Source organism: Homo sapiens, chromosome 6 (genome assembly GCF_000001405.40).
Source record: "Homo sapiens chromosome 6, GRCh38.p14 Primary Assembly".
NCBI lineage: Eukaryota > Metazoa > Chordata > Mammalia > Primates > Hominidae > Homo > Homo sapiens.
The window spans coordinates 93773562-93799558 of record NC_000006.12 but is presented as its reverse complement, the minus strand read 5'-3'; the positions used below and the strand labels follow the sequence as shown (position 1 = coordinate 93799558).

Here is a 25997-nt window from a genome sequence, read left to right as displayed (position 1 = left end):
GAGTAATGCTTATTAAACAATAAGTTGAAATTGCAAGTAACTTGTCTCAGTTATTAAATAACTTTCTGTTCATTGAAAAACATTACTCATTCTGATTACCACAGGAAGACTCACAAAAATTCAAGCATAACATTCCAGCCAAGACTTTAATCTTCAACTAAGCACATTCCCTGGAATCTCAAGAGAGACTAAGTCTGAAATATATTTTATGTGAGTTTATCACCCCTAAGCTCCTTATTAGCATGAGGTCTCACAGAGTTTCTAGATGAGAAGGTCATTTTAAAAATTATTCAGCGTTATTGTATAGTTCTTTTAAAAAATAAATTGAAAAGATATGATGGAAAGGAAATCTGGAGGACATTTGCTCTGAATCCCAGCAGTCTTGACTTAAGTGATGGGCATACAGGCTTCAAACACTGCCAGTTGGAGCAGGAGGCAGTTAGGAAGACACTGATTTTTGTCCTGGCTCTGCCTGTAAGATATGATCTATGCATGGCAAAGAACTTGGATAATTTGTCAGGTAATAACATTTCTTTTTTTTCCAATATACATGGTGGGGAATTAGATATAGAGAATTATAAAATGATAATACGGCTCTAAATCACCCTCCTTTATACAGAAAGATCAGAGCATAACTTTTTGGGGATTCTAATCATGACTTAGAATATACTGTGCCATCTGGATTTGGAATTGGTTTCAGAGTAAAGAGAGTTTGAAGTTCACTAGAAATGAAGCAAATGCTATCTAATGGTTAGAAGTTTGCTATAAATGATTCAGGTTCAAGTTAAATATTTTAAGATGAGGCTGAAATCCATGGTTTATCATATTTCATTTAATCTGAGATATTATCTATTGTAAAATTCACCAATAATTTACATACAAGCAAAAATGAAAACCCACTGGCAATTATAGTTCTTATACATTTTGCTTGTGCTATGCATTTGGGTTTTGAAAATATTAAAATGTGCAAAAATGTGATTCTTAGAAGCAATAAAATATAAATGTGTGGGTATAAATCCATTCTTATTTATCATATATTCACCAAAAACTCAGGATGTTCAAAACTAAATATATCTATCACAAATATGTACTATTTTCTCCTCTTTTTTTACATTGAATAACAATTCTTTCCTCCCAGTGTTTGACCCACTTCCTTCTATTACTCCCCATCTCTTATTGGTCATAAAGTTATTTGTCTCCTCTATTCTCTCTGCCCAGTGTGTTCTTTCTCCTTTCCTCATTGTTTGGCTGTTTTTGTACCCCATGTCAGACCTCACCTTTGATACTGCTTCCTTTGAAAAAGAAAAAATCCTGAATGTGCCAAGTCTTGATTAGTTGATCTTTCTAGTTCTCAGCATAGAACCCATAAATTTCCATTCATAACACATATCTTCTGTTGTCCTCAAACATTTATTTTTCTGTATCCAACACTAAACACAATTTTTATAGGGTCAAGGATTGTCATTCTGTTTCACAATTGAGTATCTAGAATATACCAAATGTTCCACATGTATTAATTGTTGCATGTCACTCAATGATTAAAAAATAAAAACAATTTGGAATTTAAAATATAAAAGTGATTTAGTTTTCATATATTATGAAATATAGTATGTACAAATAAATACGTTTTCAAATTGGAAAAGGAACAAGAAAAAAACAGCACAACATTATGCAAAAGAGAAGTTATTTAAGCGTCAAATAAAAGATAAAATGTACTGATTCCTAACACATGCAAAGTATCTATTTTATCAATTTTGCTTTTATGCCAGACACACACTGTATATAACAGAGGAGAAAGTTTTATTTTAGCAGTTTAATTGTGCTTCCCAACTCCAAACTACCCTTTCAATCTTTTGGGAAAATGACCAATAACCTACATTGATTGCATTTCTGCTTCTGTAAGGCAAGAGACTCTCAATGGAGCCTGTAATCTCTTTGGGTCAGAGAATTAAGAATATAAGTCCATTTCTTTCCAAGACATTGTTTTAGGAAATGCAAAAGGTTAAGTATGTCTCTTGAAGATCTTACTTTAAAATGAAATTGAAATCACTATAAACAGACAACACATTTTAAATTTTTTGCTAAATATTTATTTTATTTTTAATTGACAAATAATTGTATGGATTTATGGGGTACAATGTGATGTTGTGATACATGTATACATTGTAGGGATGATTAAATCATACTAATAAACATTTTTGTGGTAAGAACACTTAAAATCTACTCTCTAAGCCTTTTTGAAATATACAACACATTATTATTAGCTATAGTCACCATGCTGTGCAGTAAATCATTAGAACTTACTCGTTCTGTCTAACTAAAATTTCATACCCTTGACCAATATCTCCTTTGTCCCTGTTCATCCTTCGCACCTCTAGTCCCTGGCACCCACCATTCTACTCTCTACTTCTATGAGCCAGACTTTTTTAGATCCAACATGCAAGTGTTATCATATAATACTTGTTTTTCTGAGCCTGGCTTATTTCACTTAGCATAATGTTCCCTAGATTCATTCATGTTATAATAAACGACAAATTTCCTTATTTTAAAGGCTAAATAGTATTCAGCTGTGTATTTTTACATTTTCTTTGTCTATTTATCCATTGATAGGTACTTAGGTATTTTTCACATCTTGGCTGTTGTGAATAATGTTTCCATGAACATGAAAGTGCAGATATCTCTTCAACATACTGATTCCCATTCCTTTGGATATGTACCCAGAAGTGGAACAAGTTTTTGGAGGAAGCTCAGTACTGTTTTTCAAACTGGCTGTAATAATTTGCATTCCTGCCAACAGTGTATAAGAGTTTATTTTTCTCTATATCCTCTCCAACACTTGTTTCTTGTCTTTTTGATGATAACCATTCTACTTGATGGGAGGTGATATCTCATGCATAATTTGAAAATATTTCTCTCTAATCTATGTGTTGTCTCTTCACTCTGTTGTTTCCTTTATTGTGCAGAAGCTTTTTAGTTTGAATGCAATCCAATTTGTCTATATTCACTTTTGTTGCCAGTGCTTTTGGGATCATATCTAGGTAATCATTGTCCAGACCAATATTGTGAGGCTTCCCCCTATGTTTCCTTCTAGTAGTTTTACAGTTTCAGGTCTTATGTTTAGCCCATTTCAAGTTGAGTCTTGAATATGGGGTGAGAAGAAATAGAACTATCTTATTTTTTGTTGGTGGGGGTGGGGTTTATTTCCCCTTCATTCTATCAAACTTCTTGCATTGTAGCTTTCACAAATAAATATTTATTTAAAATAAAGTAGTCAATTTTATAGAATTTGTATCTATCGTGTAAATTTATTATAAGGGTTTCTTCTTTTTGAGATATAGTATAAGAAATTCCTAGCTGGCTTTGTTCCTCTATAATTAGGCAGTTCAAATAGTGGAAATAGTATAGTCTCTAGAGCTCAAATTTCTTTAAATATACATATAAATATAGTAATATTGGGTAAATCAGTTAATCTATGAGCAGCAGTTTCCTAATCTGTAAAATAGAGGTGATATATGAAAAATTATAAATTTTAGAAGTAAAATTAAATGAGATTTATAGGCGAAATTTCTGACACTTAAAAGTATGAAACAAAGCAAACAAAACAAAGTAAAACAAGACTGATCTTTTTAAAATCATAGATATTTGGTGAAGTGTATCTTAATATTACACACACACAAAAATAAGACTCTTCATTTTAGCTATAAAAAATAATTCAGGTGTACTAGTTGATGTGGCTTGGATTTGTGTCTCTTCCCAAATCTCATGATGAATTGCAACCCCCATATCAGAGGAGGGGCTTGGTGGGAGGTGATTGGATGATGGGGGCAGATACTCCCCTTGCTGTTCTCATGATAGTGAGTGAGTTCTCACAAGATCTGGTTGTTTAAAAGTGTGTTGCACCTCTCCCTTTGCTTCTATTCCTCTTCCTCTTCCTCCAGCCATGTAAGGCATGCCTGCTTCCCTTTCACCTTCTGCCATGACTGAAAATTTCCTGAGGCTTCCACAGCTATGCTTCCTGTAAAGCCTGTGGAACCATGGACCAATTAAACCTCTTTTCTTTGTAAATTACCCAGTTTCAGGTATTTGTTTATTGCAGTGTGAGAATGAACAAATATGCTAGTTATATTCTATATTAATGTAGGTGGCTCATTTTTCAAAATTAAAAGAGCTATTTACTAGACATTCATAATGATTTCTTTCTAAAATAGATTAAGACTTAAATGACACATGAGATAACAAACACCCCTCATAAGCATTTCTTTATTGAATGCAAGATGCTAGAAAAATCATAGGATAACATTGTGATAGAATATAAGAGTGTATGTTGGAACAGGCCAATATTTACCTGAAAAGAAAATTAGCAAAAAATATCACCTGGTGTTACCCTATAGCTGCTTATTTATTTTTATTTTTTCATACTACAGTTGTCTTAATTTTTTTCATACTACAAGTTTTATCCTCCGTGCTCCATTAGAAGTAAAGGGCTAGAGTGACAAAAAAATAGTTAAATTTTTTCTTAATTTTTTTTTGTTCCTGATCCAACGTGTCACTTTTTTTCTTTCTCATTTTTAACATGATAGATATTTTTGTCCTTTGGGTAAAGTATTTGATTGAACATTTAAGTTACTTTTTTAGATCTTCAATTTGCACTGATTCATCTCAATAATGCCATGGCTTTTTCACCTCCCACTGCCACTAGCTTTAATATATCCCAATGTTATATGTAGCAAACTCACAAGGGCGGATAAATTTTTGTGCACTCTGTTACTAAGAATCATAAATGATCTTAAATATTTTTGCTGAAAATACTCTTTTTCTTTAAATTGTGAGTATTTGCTATAGTCTAACTGAATACTTCAGCACCTTGCACATGCTAAATATTCAATGAATTTCTCTGGTTGATACATTCATGCAACATCAATTTTTAAACTGTTTTAAGTTTCAGGTCACAAACACATTTGTCATGTTTCTTCTTTTATAAAGATTGTAAGTCATTAATCTGTCAAATAATAGTATTGGATCATGTAAACTTCTAATATTCTTAAATCTTGAAAGTTTTATTAGTCAATGACTGTAATAGTTTAAGGTTGATACCACAATACTGGACATAACCAATGGGCTCATGAATCATTGAGTGGAGATGAGGAGTTTATGGCTAATCTTATTTATTCTTTTAAGTCTTGTACACTGACTTCAAGGAGGAAGTATGACAAACTTCTGTACTGAAAACTGTAGATCCTGAATCAGCTGCACTGGATATAGCCTTTAGTATACTGATAAATCATACTGGCCTTGCTTTAAAAAGTAAAAACTTCAGTTTGTTCATCTCATGTTAAGAGAAGCAGATGAAGAGTGGAGAATACAATTGTCTATCAAAATGCTCTCAAAAAGCAAACTTGTATACCTCTGTTAAATATATTATTTTATATTTTGCTTTTTTACACTTTCTTGAATTTGGAATCCTCTCATAGTAAGTTACCAATTTTTTTTGTTATGAGCATATAAACTAAAAAACAAAGGAATAAAACTAGGGGGAATATAAATATTAAACCATGATGCTGAAAAATCACATGGAAATGTAAAACAAGGAGGTCTTCTGGTTTAAAATACATTAACCTTAGAATAACATATTTTAATCAACATATATCATTCTAGATTTAGAAGATATAAGAGAACTTATGTTTCCTTTATGGTGAATTTTGAAAATATCACACTGACAGTAGGGAATAGATAATTTTTGAAAAGAGAGAACATGTAATAGTTATATCATTTACACACAAAGTAATTGTATCTTTATTTCACTTATTAACAATGCCAAAATTAAAATCTGACTTTATATCGACATATTATTAAGTAAGAATTTAGACCAAAGACTGATGATAATTCCTTTTAACACAGAAAAGTCATTCAAAGAAAAAAATGTCCAAAATATGATGACTGCAGAAATCAATGCGAATGAAAGTAGGAATACCTTGAGAGTAATAAAACACTAACAATTAACAAAAAAGAAGGATCCCTAAAATATACGATTTAGAAAGAAAAATTACAAAGTTGCTGTTTGATCACATTTAGAATAAAGTCTCCACTCAATAAGCTAATTATAGCTAGAAGACAATTAAATGTAATCCCTAGTGAATGAGAGGAATAAAAGAGAGATGGTGAAAAAGTAATTTATTTTCTGTGGCCAGTATACTGAATGCTTTTTATAGAAAGACTATAATGATAGAGAGCTGAAAGGAGCCTATCTGAGAAGTAAATGGAAGTAAGAAACTAACTTGGAAACCACAAGGATGTCACAAGTATGTTTTGCATAGCAAGGCTTTGTATGCATTTAACAAAAAGAAATCATATTAAGGTTATTCATAATACCTCTGTCACATAATAAGAGTGTGACCCTGGACAAGTTACTTAGCCTACTAGAGCTTCAGTTTTCTCATCTGTATAGTGGACATAGAAATGGCATTTTTCACATAGGGCTTTCATGGGGAATAAATGAGAGAATGTTTTTATAGTGACCAGGGCAATGCTTGACTCACAGTATGAATTAAATAAACATTTGCAATGCTATGTGGGTTTTTTTTTTTAAATTACAGAATAATATTTTTTTTCTGTTGGTAAGCCTAGCATTTCTTATCTAAACACAGTAACAGCTGCATTTATTCAATGTTTCTTCGCACTCAAGGTCCTGTGTAACCTGAACTGCTCTGTAACTCTGTGAGTTATCGCTCACTCTCTCCATGCCACACTGCTTCTTCTTCTTCTAATACAACGTATTCCCTCTGTCGGATCTTTGCACTGGCTGTACCATTTTCTCAAGGAGATCCACATAGCCATCTTCTTAACTTATTCAATTCTGTCACCCACTAATACTACACAACATTGCATATTAAAATTTCACAAGTCACATACCCAGAACTCCTAAGTCCCTTACCTTGCTCTACTTTTTCCTTTCCAAATCACTTTCTAACAAAATTATTTGTTTATTAATATCAATTGTTCATTTTCTGTCTCTCCTCTTGAAAATGTAAATATCATTAGCTGTAAAAAAAAAAAAACTATCTCTGCTGTTTATAGTATAGCCCAAGAATGGTATTTGATTCATGGTATGCCACCAATACATTTTTGAAGTGGAATTAAATATATAAATCATGTCCAACTCATTAAAAAATAAATACAGGTAGCTGGGCACAGTAGCTCACACCTGTAATTCCAGCACTTTTGGAGGCCAAGGTGGGTGGATCACTTGAGGTCAGGAGTTCAAGACCACCCTGGCCAACATGATGAAACACTGTTTCTTCTAAAAATACAAGAATTAGCCAGTCATGGTGGTGCAGGCCTGTAATTCCAGCTACTTGGGAGGCTGAGGCAGGAGAATCACTTGAACCTGGAAGGCAGAGGTTGCAGTGAGCCGACAATGCCCATTGCACTCCAGCCTAGGTGACAAGAGCAAAACTCAGTCTCAAATAAATAAATAAAACAATAAATTAATCCATAAATCAGTATTAAGTATTGCCAGTACAAATTTAGAAATAAACTGAGAACATAAGAATTGCTTGTTCAAATGTTCATACCTAGTAAATGACTGAACTAACATTTAAACCCCAATAGGTCTAAACCCATAGTGTTTGCTTTATTTGCAATGCTATAATTTTATCTCATAAGGAAAAGTAAGAAGGTTCTTTTATTGCCTAAAAGAAATTCACTGAAGCATTATGAAACAATAGGTTCTATATTTTGGCACCAAAAATTACATGTACTCTAGTCTTTCTCTCTTTACTTCTAGTACTTACACTGTGATAACACTAGTAGTGAATAAGTTAAATACAGAAGTCAGTAATAGAGCCAAAGAGGTGATAGATCAACTTGAAAATGAAGGAACAACGGAACAGCATGGAAAATGTGTATAACAGAAGAGAAAATGAAGAGAGGTCTACAGTGTCTATTAATGGGAATATTGTCCAAAACTACATATATTCTAATTTTTCTAAGATCTGATATAGTTCTCACTCATGAATGTCAATGTGTAAATTTTTGTTATACTTCAAAGCTGTTATTTAGTGTTCTAATTTGCCATGTACCAGAAAATACAAGTATATAATTAAATAGTTGTTTAATATTCTCCCCTTAAAATGTGGAGGGAAAACACTCAGCTTATGCATGAGAACTAATATAAATTGTACCTGGTGTATAATTGTAATGATATTAAAAATATTGTCCATAGATGACTTTCATGATTAATAAATTAATGTTATTCTATACCACTTCATCATCTAGGTTTGCATTCCACTAGCCTATGCACAAAAAAGATTTTGCCTAGTGATTAAGAGGGTAGGTATGATTGAAAACAGACCAGGATTTGAGTACTGGCTTCGTCACATCTTAAATGTGGGGCCACAGGATGGTTATCTATTCTCTCTAGGATTCTGTTTCTTCAGTTGTGAAATGAAGTTGATTCACATATCTGCCCCAAAAGAGACACTGTTAAAATCAAAGAAAATAATGTTTTCAAACTAGTTGGTAAGCATTCAGTACATGTTAGTTTTCATTTTTCTTACATTGTTATACTTGATTCATCATCAGATACTCTTAATATTTTTCTCCTTTAAATACCAGAGTATAAGCTTAGATTTTTATGAAGTTTCTCGTTGTTGATGGTGGTGGTCTTGTGGATGTTAGATATTTTTTCAAAATAGTCATAAAACATTTGACAGAATTAAAGAACCTCAAAGTGGACCTTACAAAAAGAAGTAGAAAAATAATTAATGGAAAAACACTTGCTTGGGAATTAAAAAAAGAGAGAGAGGTCATTTTTATGACTCTCATGAATCATCCTAAATGGATTATATCCAGGCCAACATTAATTTGTATGATTCCTCTGCTGAAAAGGGACTATAGCAGATGGATTATTATTATTCATATCCTTTACAAACAATACCTGATAAATGCCATTAGTATTACAAGTTCTTTGGGATGCATAAATTTATATTGTGCAAACTCAAACAAACCACTGGGGTTTCTATGTGTCCAAAGTGTTAGTGAGCATTGGTCCATATACTTCATTAACATTGTTTTTTAAAAAAGACTAATGAAATTGAGATATAAATTGTCCCCACTCCAACTCTGAATAAAAGAATACTCATCACAGAAAACTTGCATTATTTTCTTACCACTTAATTTATTTTTTAAATTTTGTATAAAGTCTACAGCTGAAATTCATTTTAATCTTCATTAAATGCTCCACAACTAATACTTAATTTCATATAAGTTTAGGTTCTCTATGAATACACAAGGAAAACTTCTTCAATTATTCTGTCATATATAATTAATTGCTGTATCAATATAAACTGATTTTTGTTTAATTGAGGTGGTCTCCATTGGTGAGTTCTCATTATCCCCTTGTAATTAGCAGCGTTTCAAGAGCCCTTTGAGGTGAAGACTCACATCTTCTTAACAGACAGCTATAAGGAGAGAATTCCGTTTAGATTTCAGACTGGCAAAAGGGGAGTGCCAACCAGTTAGCACTGTTTTTATCCACAAAGAAAGCATGGAGGTACCAAAGAGCTATGATATATTAGTTATAAAGGGCTATTTATGAATAGTTAGTTACAAAAAGATAAGATTTTAAAAGCTTTACTAGAAACACATCGTTTTTATAAAGTGTAAGTTTTTCAGATAGAAGTCACTTTGAAAGAATAAAATAATTATTCAAATTCTCTCTTCGGAACTTAAAATTTCACTACTAGTGTAGGGCAAGGAAAAGTGAAATGTGTTTTATTCCCCTGAGTACATAAATAAGCTGATATTATGTGCAACTGAATCAACAATGAGCTCATGTTCAAGTCTTTCTCTCCAGTGAAATCAGTAGGGAGTCATGTGCTCATGCTTCTTAATGGTGTCCTTATAACTAGAGATTAATTTCAAGTTTCATAATAAAAAATTTAATTGTAGATAATGTTATATGTAGAATCTTGTCACTTAATTGACTACCTAAAAATTTATTAATTAAGTTTTGAAGCAGAATTATTAATAACTACATGAAGTACACATTATTAGTTATTGGAAGTTATGAGCCTATATTTTATTTCAAGTATTATCATTTGATATATATATATATATATATATATATATATATATATTTTTTTTTTTTTTTTTTTTTTTTGAGATGGAGTTTCACTCCTGTTGCCCAGGCTGGAGTGTAATGGCATGATCTCGGCTCACCGCAACATCTGCCTCCCGGGTTCAAGCGATTCTCCTTCCTCAGCCCCCCGAGTAGCTGGGATTAGAGGCACGCACCACCACGCCTGGCTAATTTTGTATTTTTAGTAGAGATGAGGTTTCTCCATGTTAGTCAAGCTGATCTCGAACTCCCGACCTCAGGTGATCCACTCACCTCGGCCTCCCAAAGTGCTGGGATTACAGGAGTGAGCCACCGCGCCTGGCCCATTTGGTATATTCTTGATTAATGCTAAGTATGCATTCATACAAAGATAGTAAGATCCATAAGGACTATGTCCATCCTGTTTTCTTGAACTTACCATGGAATTGGTCATAATTTTTATAAGTAAAAGAGTAACTGTTAAATGAACATTGAGTCCATTTTAATATGGGTAAATGGCTTAAAATAATTAAGGAAAGATTCTACAAATTTCTTGTGAATAAGCCAAGAATAGAATCCAAGACTTTGGGTTTGGCTTTGTAATCAGAAGACACCATCTGATTTGTCTTACATGTCACACTATGTTTAAATCACTTGTGCTATTCAGGAGGAGGAAAGAGAGAGAGAGAGGGAGAGAAAAAGAATGTGTTAGGAGACCAAGGCAGGCGGATCACGAGGTCAGGAGATGGAGACCATCCTGGCCAACATGGTGAAACTCCATCTCTACTAAAAATACAAAAATTAGCTGGGCCTGGTGGCACACACCTGTATTCCCAGCTGCCTCAGGAGGCTGAGGCAGGAGAAATGCTTGAATCCCGGAGGCAGAGGTTGCAGTGAGACGATATTGCGCCACCGCACTCCAACCTGACCACAGAGCGAGACTGTTTCAAAATAAAAAATAAAAATAAAAAAATAAAATGAAGGAAGGAAGAAAGAAAGAGAGAGAATGTGAGCAAGTGTATGCCTAAATTTTAATTCATCTTTCTTACTGAATCAGCTCTTTCCTCAATGTTCTTCCTTAGTTATTTCTACATCATTTAGGTCATTTTTATCCATCATGTGTCTTTTCTGATCATTGAGTCCATGGATGAAGCAATAAGTTAACAATTATTATAGAAATTGCATTTAATTTTTATTATTAAAAATCAGTAAATATTTAGTAAAAACATTGAATATGTTAAATGAATTAATTTAATAAAATTAGTCTATGCCCCGGTAAGGAGTAGCTTTTGCACCACCTACCTTCAAAAGAAGAGGGAAGACATTCTGATTCGTAGTGCTGGACAAGGCTTGTAATCACTACTGCTTCTAAGGAGCAGCTATTTAACCACACAGTTCACCAGGATTAGTCAGCCTCATGCCATGCTTGTTTAACATGGTAGCTTATGTTCCAACAGCATCATGGTGAAGCCTATTCTCAGAATGCAGCCTTCAAAACAGGACTGTGGGTTGAGGAGTAGGAAGAAGGTTCACACTGTTGTTGCAATGCACTGTAAGTCTGTCCTCCAAGGACATAAGGTTCTTTTCAACCTGTGGAGGAAAACCTGTGTGTTTTCCACGACAGATGGGGAGTGGGAGGGAAAAAATGGTGTCCTTCTTTGTGTACTCCCTTTAGCTAATATTGCTTGGATATGCATACCAAACAAATATGTTTGGGAATAGAGTGGCATTGAACTGCCCACACGAATAATTGAGGGTGAGGGTCAGTGCCAGCTCTGCTTTCTATGCTCCTGTTTTAGTTGAGTGAGAAAGTGTAGGGTTCAGCAAATACGGGGTAATGAGCTACAGGTGAGTTTTTTGCATAAACTGAGATAAATGATCAGTTTGAACAGAGTAAAAATAAGGATGAGGAATTTTTTACTTTAGAGCTTGCTACAAATGCCTCAAAAGTAAAGCAACAGTCCCTATCCAAACATTGAGAAGTAGGCAATGTATTTTAAAGTAGTGACTAGTGTTGTTCATATGCCTTGATATTAGTAATAATATTTGGCATGCAAGCTCTCTGTTGCCTAGTTCACTGCACTCTATAATTAGAGTTTCTCATTATAAGAGCAATAACTCAGGATTCAAATAAACAACTCAGGATTTTGACATTTGTGGAAAATAGTACTGAAAAATCATTACAAGAAAAAGAATATTAAATACCTATAAGTGAAATATGGTCAACTTAGTCACCTACTGAAGAAAATGAATAATTACATTTGTAAAAGCAAATTACAAAGGGAAAAAATGCAGCCCGTTAAAATACGGCTAAATCACTTTTAATCCTATTGTTATGGCACTCGGCTTTGTGGCAGAAATTAAAGTATCCTGAGAAGAATTTCTTACCAAGAGAGGGTTAGCATGTTGAAGAAGACAGTGTTTTGGATTATTCTACATATCTCTACTATAAATAGGATACTTTTAAAAATGCTGTTTTGAGCTATTCAAGTGAGTTAGTGATCATCTATGGCAGACTTCACAATAATGATGGACTGACATATGAATAGAGGAAAGGCTTATCATTTTAGATGGACAAATCTTGGTGAATTCAAACTATAACCTGTAATCTTTAATTTAAACTAGCCACTTAGCTGGTAAAGGTAATGATTTGTCATGCGGCTTATTCATTTACTGTTAATCACCAGGATTCACATATTTGAAATCCCTAGCATTCAGAAACCTGTAAGAGGATTCATGCACGTGTTCTACTTTATGCTCCTGATTTGCAAAACAATGAGGCTGGTAATGATGTGAAAGATTTAACTGGCTCTCCTTGTGTCTCCTCTATCTGCACTGATTGTTATTTGTAAAGAGGAATCTTCAGAAGCCTGCGGTTCCCACAGGATGCTGAGCAGCCAGGCACTGGGTTAAGAATGACATCCTGTGTCAGGGATCAGATATCAGTCAGTTAATAGCTTTGCACTTAGAATTGCTGAATATTTTTTTCTTGTTAAAGGCCAATTTTTTTGTAAAGTTATTTTTATGTAAAGTTATTTTCATAGTCATAATATAATGTAGACTGGAAGATTCTTTGAAAATAGCAATGGTTTAAATGATTTCTTTAAAGCAAGATAACTTTCTATTTTATGTATCAAATCAGTTCATAATTTATATTTATGCAATCCAGATTCAAGAAACACAAAACAATTCTTGCCAGTCTTTGCACTGTGTATTCAGATTTTGCTGTTATTTTACAAGACTTATGCTGTAAGAAGAATTTGTTTTAGTAAAATAAGAGTGAACTATTCTTTTCCCTCATTGTCAAGAAGGTTATGTTTGTTCTATTTCCACTTTCACTTTCCAAAAGTTATTTTAATTATTCCAAGGAAATGTGATATAGTCACATTTTAATTTTTTTTCCTAATTACAAATAAGAACAAAAAATTCTCAAGTATTAAGATGTGAAAAACTATCGTAAGTAGGTATGTCCTGTCAGTTTTAAAATCTTAAATGATTTAATAGGTAAACAGTAAAAAAGTAAATTTCTGTTAAAAAAAAAAGAAAAAAAACCTCAGGGGCAGGATTTAAAATGGACAGACACAGTTTAGAAAATGATGTTGTCTTAATGGTGAACCTGCACACGCACACATACACACACACACACACAGCGGTACATAATGGGGAAAACATTAAAAGATTTAGCCAAAAATTGTTTTAGGGATTATATAATTTGGAAAAGGAAGGAAGGGAGAAAGGGAAGGAGAGAGGGGATGGAAGAAAGGAAGGAAAAAAGAAAGAAGGAGGGAAGAAAGAGGAAAAGAATAAAAGATTGAAATAGTGACAGCCTTCTTATTCCAGAATTCAAAGTAGACTCCCTTCACCTCCAAGTGAAACATGGACCTTAAACACTGGTAAAAATATGGCTACCGTATTCAGATTGTTACTGGTTTTTCAAAACCCAGCACCATGAACCGTAAAAACGAATAAAATTTACATCTGCCATTTTCTTTCTCTTTCTGTTTCTCATTCCTTTCTCCCTTTTCCTCCTACACAGCTTCTGTGCTAGTGCTTGTGTTTCAGTTTCATAATCTGTCCATTGTGAATTAAGAACATTTATTTGGCAGTTTCTCCTTACCGACGGGGTGCATGATATATTGGCCTCTGTGACACTGAGTCAGATCCTGCTCGGATTCCTACAGTTACTAGTAAATACCATCACTCCTGAGGCAAGCAAGAGTGCAGAATCAGAAACAACAGCAGATGCTGCATCTGTTGGAAGGGAACACAGTTAAGAAGTGTCGATGACTCAGTGACAGTTCTATTGATTTTTCTTTCTTATTTTTTGATGAGGATATGATGCAAAACAAATGCCTTTGCAGTGGAGACTTCAGGGCAATGAGATTTAAAAGTTCCTATTTTTTTTTTTACCTTGTTTTGTGAAATGTGATGCTACAATTACTAATGATACTGCAATGTTCATTTTTAGTTCCTTATCTGAGGGCCCAATAGCTGTCATCGTTTAAATGCAGAAGCCAGGCCTTGCAGTTGTTTTCTAATTTAGTTTGTAGTTAGTTTCTCAAATGATTTGAACACAGTTTTTGTTTGTTTGTTTGTTTGTTTTGTTGTTGTTGTTGTTTAACACACTCATTATACCACAGTGCCTGTTTTATCCTCTGAAGCTGTTATTCGGTCCATTTTAGCCAAATAAGTGGCTAAAAAGAGTAACAGTTTTGTTTTGTTTTGTTTTGTTTACCTTGGTGACTGCAGTATTGCACTGTTATACTATTAACTGTCAATTTTTAAAAATAAATGTACAAGGTCAGAGTTGTCTGCTTTGGTCTGAAATGTCCCTAGGTGTATAATTAATAGGAAATTTACTAGAAACATTCTACTTCCCTTCTCTCAGGGAGTTTTGTTTGTTTGCTTGTTCTACTGCTTGCCTACTTGCTAGCCATAGAGGATACTCCTGAGCATATGAAAAACATATGAAAAACATATGAAAAAAATCCCCCACAGTCATCTCCCCAACCACACCTCCCTTTGGCCAAGAAGGCATCTTTTAGCTAACTAAGAAATCACATTTTGTAAAACATAAGCTACTTTCACAATCGTGGTAAAGCACATAACTTTTTTAGACTTCTGTCACATTTTGTGAGCTTCGTTCCTGCTTTTTCCGTGGTTCACACCATTAACTAGATGAGTAGGTGACCAACTGAAAAATCACTAAAGTGCACTTTACCAAGAGTCCTGTTCTGTGTTGCCCATAGCATTAACAGCCATTTTTGTTGTTGTTATTTTAGAGGGATGAAGACATCTAGAAAGAGTAAGCCATGTGTATTCTGGGAAATGTCCCATTTTATGTATGTCTCCCAGCAGGATATTTAAAAGTTGTTTCAAAATTCCCTTATGATGAATTTATATTCACAGTGTCAACAAATCTTTACTGAATGACTGCTGGATACATGGCACTGCCTCACACTACAAGGAATAAAATGATTTAGATTATTCATCATTAAAATCTATTCAGTGCAATTAGAGAACCACCATATCAACAGAGTGCCTGGAGGAAGAACTCACAAGTATAGAGCCCTTAATCAAATGTAGGTACTACTCTGAGTGCTCTACACACATTATCTATACAACTCTGTGAAGTAGTATCTAATAGTCCCATTTTAAAGATGACGGGCTTAAGATTCAGAAAGTATAATTCAGTTATGGGATTGAGATTCAAATTCATGTCTTACTGATGATCAGGATTCTCTTATGGTCAAATGCCTTAGAAGTTTGAGAAGAAATATATGTCTGGCCTAAAAGGTCAAGGATGCCTTCAACAGAACCTTTTCAAATAAATACAGGGTGAATACTTAAGATAGCTAATCATACTGGAGGAAACTGAGCAGCACTGCTGGAATAATAAAGAGAAATTTGTATTTAGGGAGAAATGGATGCTTCCTAACTGGAGCCTGTAGATAGGCAGATGATAGATAGATAGATAGATAGATAGATAGATAGATAGATAGATAGATAGACTAATGATAGATAGGTGCTTAGAAATGTAGTTTCACATCAAAGTAAGGAAATCATTGAATGCCATAAAAATGTCATATTGCACTATTGTGAAAAAAGGTGAAAAAACAGAAATCTATATATTTTAATATAAATAATTTAATAAATCCTCCCTATAAGTAGTTCTTTCTCCACCAACTATATGAAAAACTATGAGCACTATTTCCACCTCAATAAATTAATCACACATTTTATGGATGAATCATATTTTATTCAACCTTTAGTTTCTTTATATCTATTTGGTTTCTTCCATTTTCTTTTTTTTTCCTTAAAAATATTCAATTGAATATCTTTAATCATATACTTGTATATATGTTCAATTACCTCCTTAGGAAACATTTCTAAATTTGGATTGCCAGGTAAAGAGGTTTTAATATGTTTTATCAAATTATTTTATAGAAAGTTTCTACCAGTTTAGATTCTTACTATGCCAAGTTAATTTTCCCTGAATATCACTTTCAGAACATCATTTACATACTTAACAAACGCTTTCCTATTTTCCTAACCTAAGTTGCTGAAGATGTCATCTTTATCCTTATCTCCACGTGCTAAATATTCATATAACACCCTCCCTTTTGTATCTTTTCTTCAGGTTTATTGCATTCAAGTTCTAGATTTGTTTCTGCATGCAATCCAGCCGACAGCAACTTTTCCTGAGCTATCTCCATTTCCTCCATTTATCTATTTATTTATTCAGCCATTCACATATTCACTTATTCAACAAAATTTATGAGCACCTGCTGTATGTTGGCATTGCACATACACATTGGATATAACATTTAAACTACTCTTTTGATCCTTTTAATTGAAAATGTGATGAAATAATTATTTAAAAGAATTTTTAAAGACTCCACTTTCCACTATTTTTAATGACTATTTTTTATCTTACCTTTCAGATTTTACCCATGTGCATATTTTAAAATACTGAATTCAAATGACAAAACCCTTCATGATTTTATTTAATATTTTAATTTGATACTTATTACTACCTCATATTGTAATTTATCTTTTACTACATATTAAGCCTTTACATTCCAGTTTTAAACTCTTGCTGCTGAAGAGAATGAAATTGATATGGATGAAATGTGACTAGATAGAATGAAATAAATAGATGTGTTAAGTCTCTTTTTTCTCTCTCCTTCAATCTGAAGCATATCTAGATGTGTGGATAGCAGTTACGCTATAAATAACCTAGTCATCTAAGGGATAACAGGGGTCAAAACTTAAAGAATAAAAAATCATATATTTTCAGCAACAAAATGATCTAGGATTAAGTCAGAAACATCATGCATATTTTTCCTGGGTAGTTTGGCTGTCTTGTTTGCTAAGAAAGAATGAGTCAGTTTTCATATATTACAGGAAAATAATATTTGCCTTCTAAATAGCTGACACTGGGTTTTGCATTTCCTAGAGCAACGAGGAAGAGTTGCCTGCAAAAGAAGGGAGATGAATTAAATGGTTCTGAATGTAGGCCAGAATCTTAGAGAAGATATTGCAGCCTGTAAGGTAATAGCAATGTAAAGATACTCAGTTAGTAAAAATTATTCCAGAAGGCTTCTGTTTAATGACTTCCTGGGACCACATATCTTCACATAATGTCAAACAGTCAAAAAGGTGTTTTTACATCTTTGAGGGAGAAACCAACTAAATGTCTCCCCAAATTCCCACACCACCACTTGTCTAGTTTGGAATCATAATCTTCCTGGATTTCTCAACTACTAGACCTAACTCTAATCTGAAAAAGTCTTTTAGAGATGGTGTTGCTCCCACCCCCAAAGACTCTTTGAAAGCTATATTGCTCCTTTGGAGCTGTCCCATGGCTGAAACTCAATCTGAAAGTTAAACAGTCCCTATAGTATGTCAATGGCAAAGAACATTTATATGGCAGCCCTGTATTCCTATGACAACTTATGGAGGTCCATCCTTAGGTCTCTAAGAACATTATCTACAGGAGAAGGTGCTGTCCACGGTTAACACTACACAGCCAATTCCCCACTTGTGTGGCTGTGGGTAATTCCTGACAAGTGCCCAATTGCCATCTTGAAATGGGGGACATTTGGAGCAGTACATGCTCCTATAGTAAATGATTAATGTGCATTTTTCTGATCCTGACAGATTCCAAAAGAAGAGTAGATTGCTAGCCATAAAACTAAGCAGCATCAATGTGACATTACTGGAAGAATCCGAAAGTCTTTGCAGAAATGCTGTGCTTACTCCAATGTTTCTCAAAAACCAGCAATTTTAAAGAGACTAGGGTCAATATAAATGAAATAAATGGAGGCTAAGATAAAATATGTCAGAAAATTTGCTGAAAGGTTATTTTAAGGTGGCCTGTTAAAAACAATAATGGGCCATTAGGCTGTCTTGTTAAAGGCATTAAAGTCACAGGCACGATGTATGAGTCACATGGGCAAGATTTTCCATTTTATATATAAAAAATTCAATATTAAATTTCTGGTAAAAGTACAATATTAGTGTTTCTGTGTATATTATTACAAATCTTATTTAAATTGTAGGCAGAAAAATAAGCAAAGTAATTAATGCCTGTAGAGATGTCCTATCTAAATGTTATATAATTAATGTCCCAATATAGATTTTAATGTATTTTATTTATAATTAAGTATGCATTTAAAAATATTTTTGGCTGATCACTTTACACTCAGGTATACTGACTCTCTTTGTCAAAGACATCAGTAATTAATTCATTTTTAAAGCAAAATTTTGAGCACCTTCAATGAATAGGATAACTTACTAGCTAATTGAGGATATAAATGATGTATACAAAACGGTCATCTCATCATCTAATCTGGAATTAGAGACAGGTGTTTTATGTGTGGGGTGTGTCCCCATGAGCAAAGCTTCATTTATTTTGTTCACTGCTGAAACTCCAAGAAACCTCAACAAAATCTAGCACAAAGAAGACATTTGTTAGTAAAAAGAATCCTTGCTTAAATCTTGCTATTTTGAAAATTAATTCTCGTAGGTTCTTTCTGATTGTTATCCATTATTTTGGAGCCTAGATCTTAAATCATTAATTTAGTTGTTTTATTTAATTTTGCAGTAACAACACTGAGGAAATCTTGTTTCTGTTAATTTTTATGGGCTACTGATTATAAAGAAAAAATAATTTTAAGAAACATGAATCTGTCTGTGGTGAATTCCCTTGGCTAAGAAAACTGGCCTTTGCTTTTTGAATTTATTTATTTATGTATTTATTTGTAGTCTTAGACTATTGGTGTCATAGCATCAACGGTTAAAAATAAACAAAACATAGATATAGATAACTATCATTTAGATACAATCATTTATGACCCTCAGCTCAAACTCCCTCTTCTTTGTTATGAAAACTCAGGATCTGTAAACGGCCTTAGCTATTTTAATTAAATATCTTCTATCAAAGGTACCATATGGGAATTGTTGGGTTTGTCTGTTTGTTTGTTTGTTTGTTTTGCTTACAATATTTATAATGCCACAAACTGCCCGTTTAAATACTTTCTAAATGTCTGCATTGTCATATTTTTAATCATTAAAATTAATTGAATAAAAAAATCTTTATTTTCTATCCAGCAGTGCTCAGGAGTTTTGAAAGGAGCTGACTCATGAGCCATGTTCTGGGACACTGCTGATTCTCAGTGGGCAAGCTGTACTGTGTGTATTTTGGAGCTCCATAACACAGACTCATGCCTTGAATGGGGGGATGCCGGGAGGGCTGGGATGCTTGGAGAGAAAAAGAAAAGAAACAGAATATGGCAAGACACTCTACATGCTAAAGCTTACAGATGCTTTGATTACAGGAAACTTACGTAAATGATAACAGTGCGCAGAACTAGACGTGGAAGAAGGGAAAAAATATGGGATCCCGACATAGGCCTTTGTACTCATAAAATCACGGGTGAGACTGCTGAAAACAACTGTTGGGAGTTTTATGATTTAATCCCATTGACTGGATCACTGAACAGGGCATTTTTCACTTCCAGTTTTCGTGCTTTAGCTGACCTACGAAATCTCATGGTTTTGTTTGGTGACACGTGCTTTTAGGAAAACTTGTTATTTCTGCTGTTCTGCACTGCCCTGTCTCCACTGAACTGCCTGATCTCCTGTGGAATTTACAGTTTCAGCGCAGCCAGCAAATGCAGGGAAAGAATGTGTGCTTCATAGCTGGAGTGCTCCTGATAACAGTCCATTCTGGTATCGGTGGCTGGAAGAGAGAGGGACTGCCACCCAGTGTTTTTACAGTGCCTGTTTCAGGCAGCTTCTAAATTGACAGCGAAGGGTGGAGTGGGTAGGGGGAGAAACAAGAAAAAAAAATTCCCTGTCTTTGGGGTGGGGGAGATAATTCTAAAATCTCTGAGAAACTTAAATATGGTAATTCCCTATTCCAAACATACACAAGTCACAAGCAACCTTATTCTTTGGTTTCTAGGCACATTTTTGAGTTTAGCACAATAGGGAGAAGAAAATTGGAGGTTAGCGAATCCAGTAGGGCAAGAGGTGAAGAGGACTAAATTTCAGTCAAGACAACAAGGAAAGTACAAAGAATACAGTTTCTCTTTCATGTGCTTTGATCGTCTTTCCTGTTTTACCCTTAATGAATACTTTCTCAAAACTAAAAATAAAACACTGCATTCTATTAAATTGTGCTCTTCCTCTAAGGGAATTCTAAATGTGTAAGTGTATGTTTCTCTTCCATGAATATGACTATATATTTTCACATTTTATATATATATATATATAATTTCATACATATATACTTGCATATGTATATTTTTCTTCTTCTGGGAGCCAGAGAGTGGTCAAGAGAAAAAGGGAAAAAGAGTCCATGCTAGAAACTCAACAAGTAAATGTTAGTTTCTTTAAACTGCTAATGACCGCTGGGCGAGGTGGCTCACACCTGTAATCCCAACACTCTTGGAGTCCGAGGCAGGTGGATCACCTGAGGTCGGGAGTTAGAGACCAGCCTGATCAACATGGAGAAACCCCGTCTCTACTAAAAATACAAAAACTTGGCCAGGCTTGGTGGCACATGCCTGTAATCCCAGCTACTTGGGAGGCTGAGGTAGAATTGCTGGAACTCGGGAGGCGGAGGTTGTGGTGAGCCGAGATCGTACCACTGCACTCCAGCACGGGCAATAGGGCGAAATTCCATCTCCAAAAAAATATTCGAATGACCAAACATAGTGAGGAGTATCAGAAGATTTACAGTGGTGGCATAAAATTGTACACATACCACGAGAAGCAGAGGAAGGTAAGGCAGATCGATATTTGTATCTTCACTTTGTGCTATAGAGTATGCTTTCTCCCTAGCCCCACATGGTAGCCCTTGGAAAGTAGTAGATTGAAGAGGAGACAAACATTTCATGTGAACAGTTAAGGTGTGCCACGTGTGTATGCTCAGGGTGAAACTTCATATTTCATTCTAGGTAATGTGCCCACAAAGTCTCATATTATTCTAATTGGAGAATAGCCAAAGAAGAAATATAATCCCAAATATTTTGATTTGACTTTACTACCCTGCTTTTCCTTACACAGAGGACACACATGTGTGTCCTCATACTGCATGAATACAGAGCTGTTTTAACATTTCTTGATGCTAGCTATAGCTTTCTTACTCGTAGACAGGACCTTCACCATAGTGGAAGTATGCTAATATAAACATGGTCAGTGACTGTAGTCATTACAAATAAGTTCTTTTCAACTAATTGACTAAAATAATCATATTAATAAATACATGATACTCGTACGCACAAGTCACCTTTTCTCCCACACTGATGGCTTTGATTACTTTGACAGACTAAGATGCACTAATGATACAAATTAGAAGCAAAAAGAATTAAAAAGGTGTTTAACTCTGATGCCAGGCTGTCAATTTCCTATAGTGCTACCAACTTACAGATAGATGATTAAAATTGTTTCATTTAGGAATTTTGAATATTTTAAAAATTGAATGGGTTTCTGGGGGAGGAAAAAAGAAAGAAAAATCCTTGCTTAGCTAATTAGACATCCTATTTGATTTAACAATAGAGCAGGATTATTCTTTGAGTGTTGAGATCTTCCTTCATTACTACAAGAGCCTACATTTTGCTATCTTTGCTCATTGTGCTTGTCTCATTCCTTATGTTTAATATTATTGCTACTTTTTATTTAGTTACGAGTTTATAAAGAACAATGATTTTAATTTGTTTGTAAAGCAACTATTTCCAAAACATGATGCTAGATACCATGGGTAAGGCCCAAATACATGAAATATGATTTATCTCTCTGAGGGTAAAGAATCTAGCAAAAAAAAAAAAAATGAAACATGCACACAAATGACCATGTATATTGTAGAATCTTGAGAATGACAAAATAGCACACACAAGGTACTTTGGCTGCATGGAGGAATTTAGTCAGACAGCGGAATTTCAAGCCTTAATTTAGTTACTCTATATCCACCTTGAGAAAGTTACTTAATTCATTTGGGTGTCCATTATATTATCTGTAGGTTGGGGTAAATAATAGTTCTCTCTCAGATATAAATGAATATTAATTGAGTTCCTAAATGTGAACTATTTAGAACACAGACTGGTGCACACTAAGTGCTTTTATGATACCCAATAGTTCACCCCAAAGATCAAGTATATATTTCTGTGGATTTATAAAGTTCCTTCTCTACTGCATCCACTATACTATAGCTTATTCATCATTATCTTCCCACTAATTCAATAAGGTGAATATTTATTAAATAAATGAACTTATAAAGGGATGGATGAATGTTTGATCATCAGTTGGTTATTTAGTTGTTTAGAAGCTCTAGCAAGATCTGCATCGCTATCTCTATGGGATGGTCACCTTTGTCTAAAGATGCAGTATGAGAAAGCATGCAATAGGGAAAGCCGCCCTCTATCCAAACCGTCAAATAAGCAGAATCAGTTCTGGGGGAAGGTGGCGTGACACATCATCTTATATTCTAATTTGTTGTAATAAATGTTAAAAAATAAAAACTCTGAAAAAAGCAATAAATAATTATCATCTTCAATTCTAAAAACAGAGTTTGCTTAAATAAGTGAGTGTTCTTCGGTGGCTATGGCTGGTGGAGGATGAGGATGGAGTAATGAAAAGAGTCCCACACAGTAGGTCAGAGTCTTGACATGCAGACGCACTCTTGTTGTTGGTTCTGTGATCCTAGCAAGTCAGCTCCTGTACTTCCTTGTCAATTAGGAATATTTTTAATATTCACTTGGTTTCTTGCGAGAAAAACATTGAACCACCTGAGTGTACAAAGAAGTCACGAAAGTACTGGCTTTCATATATTCCCAGTCTAGTGAAAGAATATGCACTTGAAGAAGCAATGTTTGTTAGAACAAAAATACTCCCAAGGACCAGATTTGACATATAAAGACCTACTTGAGTTGAAATTTGGGGTCTGTCACTTACTAGATAAATGACTTTGAATAAATGACTTAATGCTCTGAAATTTAAATTTTCTCCCTTGTTAAATAAAATTACTTGCCCTAACTATGTCAGAGGTAGATATTTAAAAAGCATTCCCAAGTACTCTGTAAGTGTATGAACATTAATTAACCGTATTATAAGTTTTTAAGTGTGGAAGATGCTGTCACTATAGGAATATATAACGGTTAAAAACTTTTAGAAAAAATTTTTAGAAAAATAAGACTCATTCACATGAAACAACTAATACTATCAGATTCTATATAAGTGGTCACAAATGTAAGGTACAAGTATTAACATTTTGGTGGTTGAAAAGTGTTTAAGAACAATTTCTAAGATAGAGATGAATGTAAGCTCAGTCTTACAAAGGAATACAATTTTATTAAATCTTCAAAATCAAAATGTATTTCAGAGAATTCCTAAGTTCTAAATTTCCAGAAACTGAAAAATTAAGTAATTTGTTTCAGTTCCCTGGGTTTGCTATATCAGATTCAAGAATATTCTGTTTGAATACCAAAGGCATCCTGTAAATTCTTTGGCAAACCTCTCATTAGATTGAATTTTACATGACTTTTGATGAGGGAAGTCCCTGGAAAGTAACTGATTTAGGACAAATCAGCCCAAATAGTCTTCTTGGCCATACTTACCAATTAATACATATTATTGATGTTATTAAGGACCATCTTACAGTTGAAAAATAGATCAAACAACAGCCTCCTCAGGATATAATTGGAACACTTTGATCTCATGGAGATGATGCTAATAAGAATGATAATGAAGTGGAAAAGACAGTTAGTAACAATAAGAATTATAGTATTTAATATTCAGTGAGTTCTTATGCTGGGCATATTGCATGATAACTGACATATATTACCTTTTTTAATCTTCACAGTATTCACAATAAGAGAGTGAGATGTGCACTATACATTTCCATAATTTTATAAAAGAAAACAGAGGTACAGAAAACCACACTTTAGTTAGGTAGTTAATAAAATGTGGTGCCAGACTCCAAATTTGGAATTTTCTTCCAAGAATTGTAGCGGACATTGTTGTTATATATATTTTTTTTATGATAAATTTTATCTCTCCCCTTTTGTGTAGCAACCAGTTCCAGAATTGGCCTAAGGTAATCAATAATGTCATTTTCTAGCCCAAAAGATATAATCCTTTATTCAACAATTTTTAAATATTAATTAAGCATTTACTATAAGTCAGACACTATTTTAGATACTACAGAGAGGTTAGTGAATTGAGCAGTAAAGATTCCCTGCTTTTTCTGCCTTTAGGGATTTCACAAAAATGAAGAGATTGACCTATAAATAATAAACATATTAAAGATCACAAAATAAGAGATTGACCTATAAACCAAAAAATGTGAGCATAATAATAATGTAATGGTTATGATCATGAACTATCAAATTAGAAGTTATAAATTCAAATTACTTTTCATCACTTTCTAACAATGATCTTGGAAAAGTCACTTAACCTCTCTGAAACCCAGTTTTCTCATCTGCTAAATAGGGATAATAGTATCTAATTCTAGAAAAGGTCTTTGTGTGATATGAATAATATATATAAAGAGCTTAGCATAGGGCTTTAAATAAGTGCTCAGTGGGGTATCTATTTTTAAATATATCTCAAATGTAAGTACAAAAATTGACGTAGGGGGCATTACTCCAATTTGCCCCTTCCAGTTCATCACACTCTTTTTGCCCATAATTTAAATATATCTTAAAAACAAAATTTGCTCCTAGAAGCCTTTTAAGATTAATTCAGCTCACACAAAGATTTCTTCACCAACATAATCAAGTACTAATTCTTTTTTTTGTTGTTTTTTGTTTTTTGTTTTTTTGAGACGGAGTCTCGCTCTGTCGCCCAGGCTGGAGTGCAGTGGCGCGATCTCGGCTCACTGCAAGCTCCGCCTCCCGGGTTTTCTCCTGCCTCAGCCACCCGAGTAGCTGGTACTACAGGCGCCCGCCACCACGCCCGGCTAATTTTTTATGTTTTTAGTAGAGACGGGGTTTCACCGTGTTAGCCAGGATGGTCTCAATCTCCCCTTGAGATCCACCCGCCTCGGCCTCCCAAAGTGCTGGGATTACAGGCATGAGCCACCACGCCCGGCCTCAAGTACTAATTCTTAACTCACGGGTCTTAAAATTTTCTTAAATTGATTTTGATTTGTATTTGGAATTTGGTCATTGTCAACCTCCCTTTTATATTGGTTCAAGAAAGAATATCTGACCCAAATAGGACATTTACATTTTTTAATGGATTCTGAGAAAGAAGACATCTTGTGAGTAATTCTTGACAGTGGGGTGGTTGAATGTAAAGTCTAAATCTATACTGTCATTTTACCACTACGAGAGAAGTCAGTCTGACGATAAGCTGACCCTGCACAAGGCCTGCAGAGTGATGACTCCGTGAG

General features: G+C 34.1%; 2 long non-coding RNA genes across 2 annotated transcripts in view, besides 3 other annotated features; both read right to left on the bottom strand.

Moving 5' to 3' along the window:
* Window positions 1-9155: 9155 nt before the first annotated feature.
* Window positions 9156-11454, bottom strand: LOC124901496 (uncharacterized). Its single transcript, XR_007059928.1, has 2 exons — window positions 11399-11454; window positions 9156-9458 (listed from the first exon to the last, which is right to left on the bottom strand). It is a non-coding gene; the product is annotated as an uncharacterized LOC124901496 (long non-coding RNA).
* Window positions 11714-12239: an enhancer, noted in NCBI's record as "NANOG-H3K27ac hESC enhancer chr6:94497038-94497563 (GRCh37/hg19 assembly coordinates)". NCBI's record gives its function as "activates a minimal SCP1, AML or CMV promoter by ChIP-STARR-seq in primed H9 embryonic stem cells {active_cell/tissue: H9 hESC(primed)}" and the evidence as "EXISTENCE:reporter gene assay evidence [ECO:0000049][PMID:30033119]".
* Window positions 12240-12764: an enhancer, noted in NCBI's record as "OCT4-NANOG hESC enhancer chr6:94496513-94497037 (GRCh37/hg19 assembly coordinates)". NCBI's record gives its function as "activates a minimal SCP1, AML or CMV promoter by ChIP-STARR-seq in naive H9 embryonic stem cells {active_cell/tissue: H9 hESC(naive)}" and the evidence as "EXISTENCE:reporter gene assay evidence [ECO:0000049][PMID:30033119]".
* Window positions 12765-13291: an enhancer, noted in NCBI's record as "OCT4-NANOG hESC enhancer chr6:94495986-94496512 (GRCh37/hg19 assembly coordinates)". NCBI's record gives its function as "activates a minimal SCP1, AML or CMV promoter by ChIP-STARR-seq in naive and primed H9 embryonic stem cells {active_cell/tissue: H9 hESC(naive and primed)}" and the evidence as "EXISTENCE:reporter gene assay evidence [ECO:0000049][PMID:30033119]".
* The window catches only part of TSG1 (tumor suppressor TSG1), a 72604-nt gene continuing 69545 nt past the window's right edge, over window positions 22939-25997 (bottom strand). Inside the window, exons 9-10 of the long non-coding RNA NR_015362.2 lie at window positions 24220-24331; window positions 22939-23391 (exon numbers count right to left, since the gene is read on the bottom strand). This is a non-coding gene — a long non-coding RNA (tumor suppressor TSG1). The remainder of the gene's footprint in view (window positions 23392-24219; window positions 24332-25997) is intronic.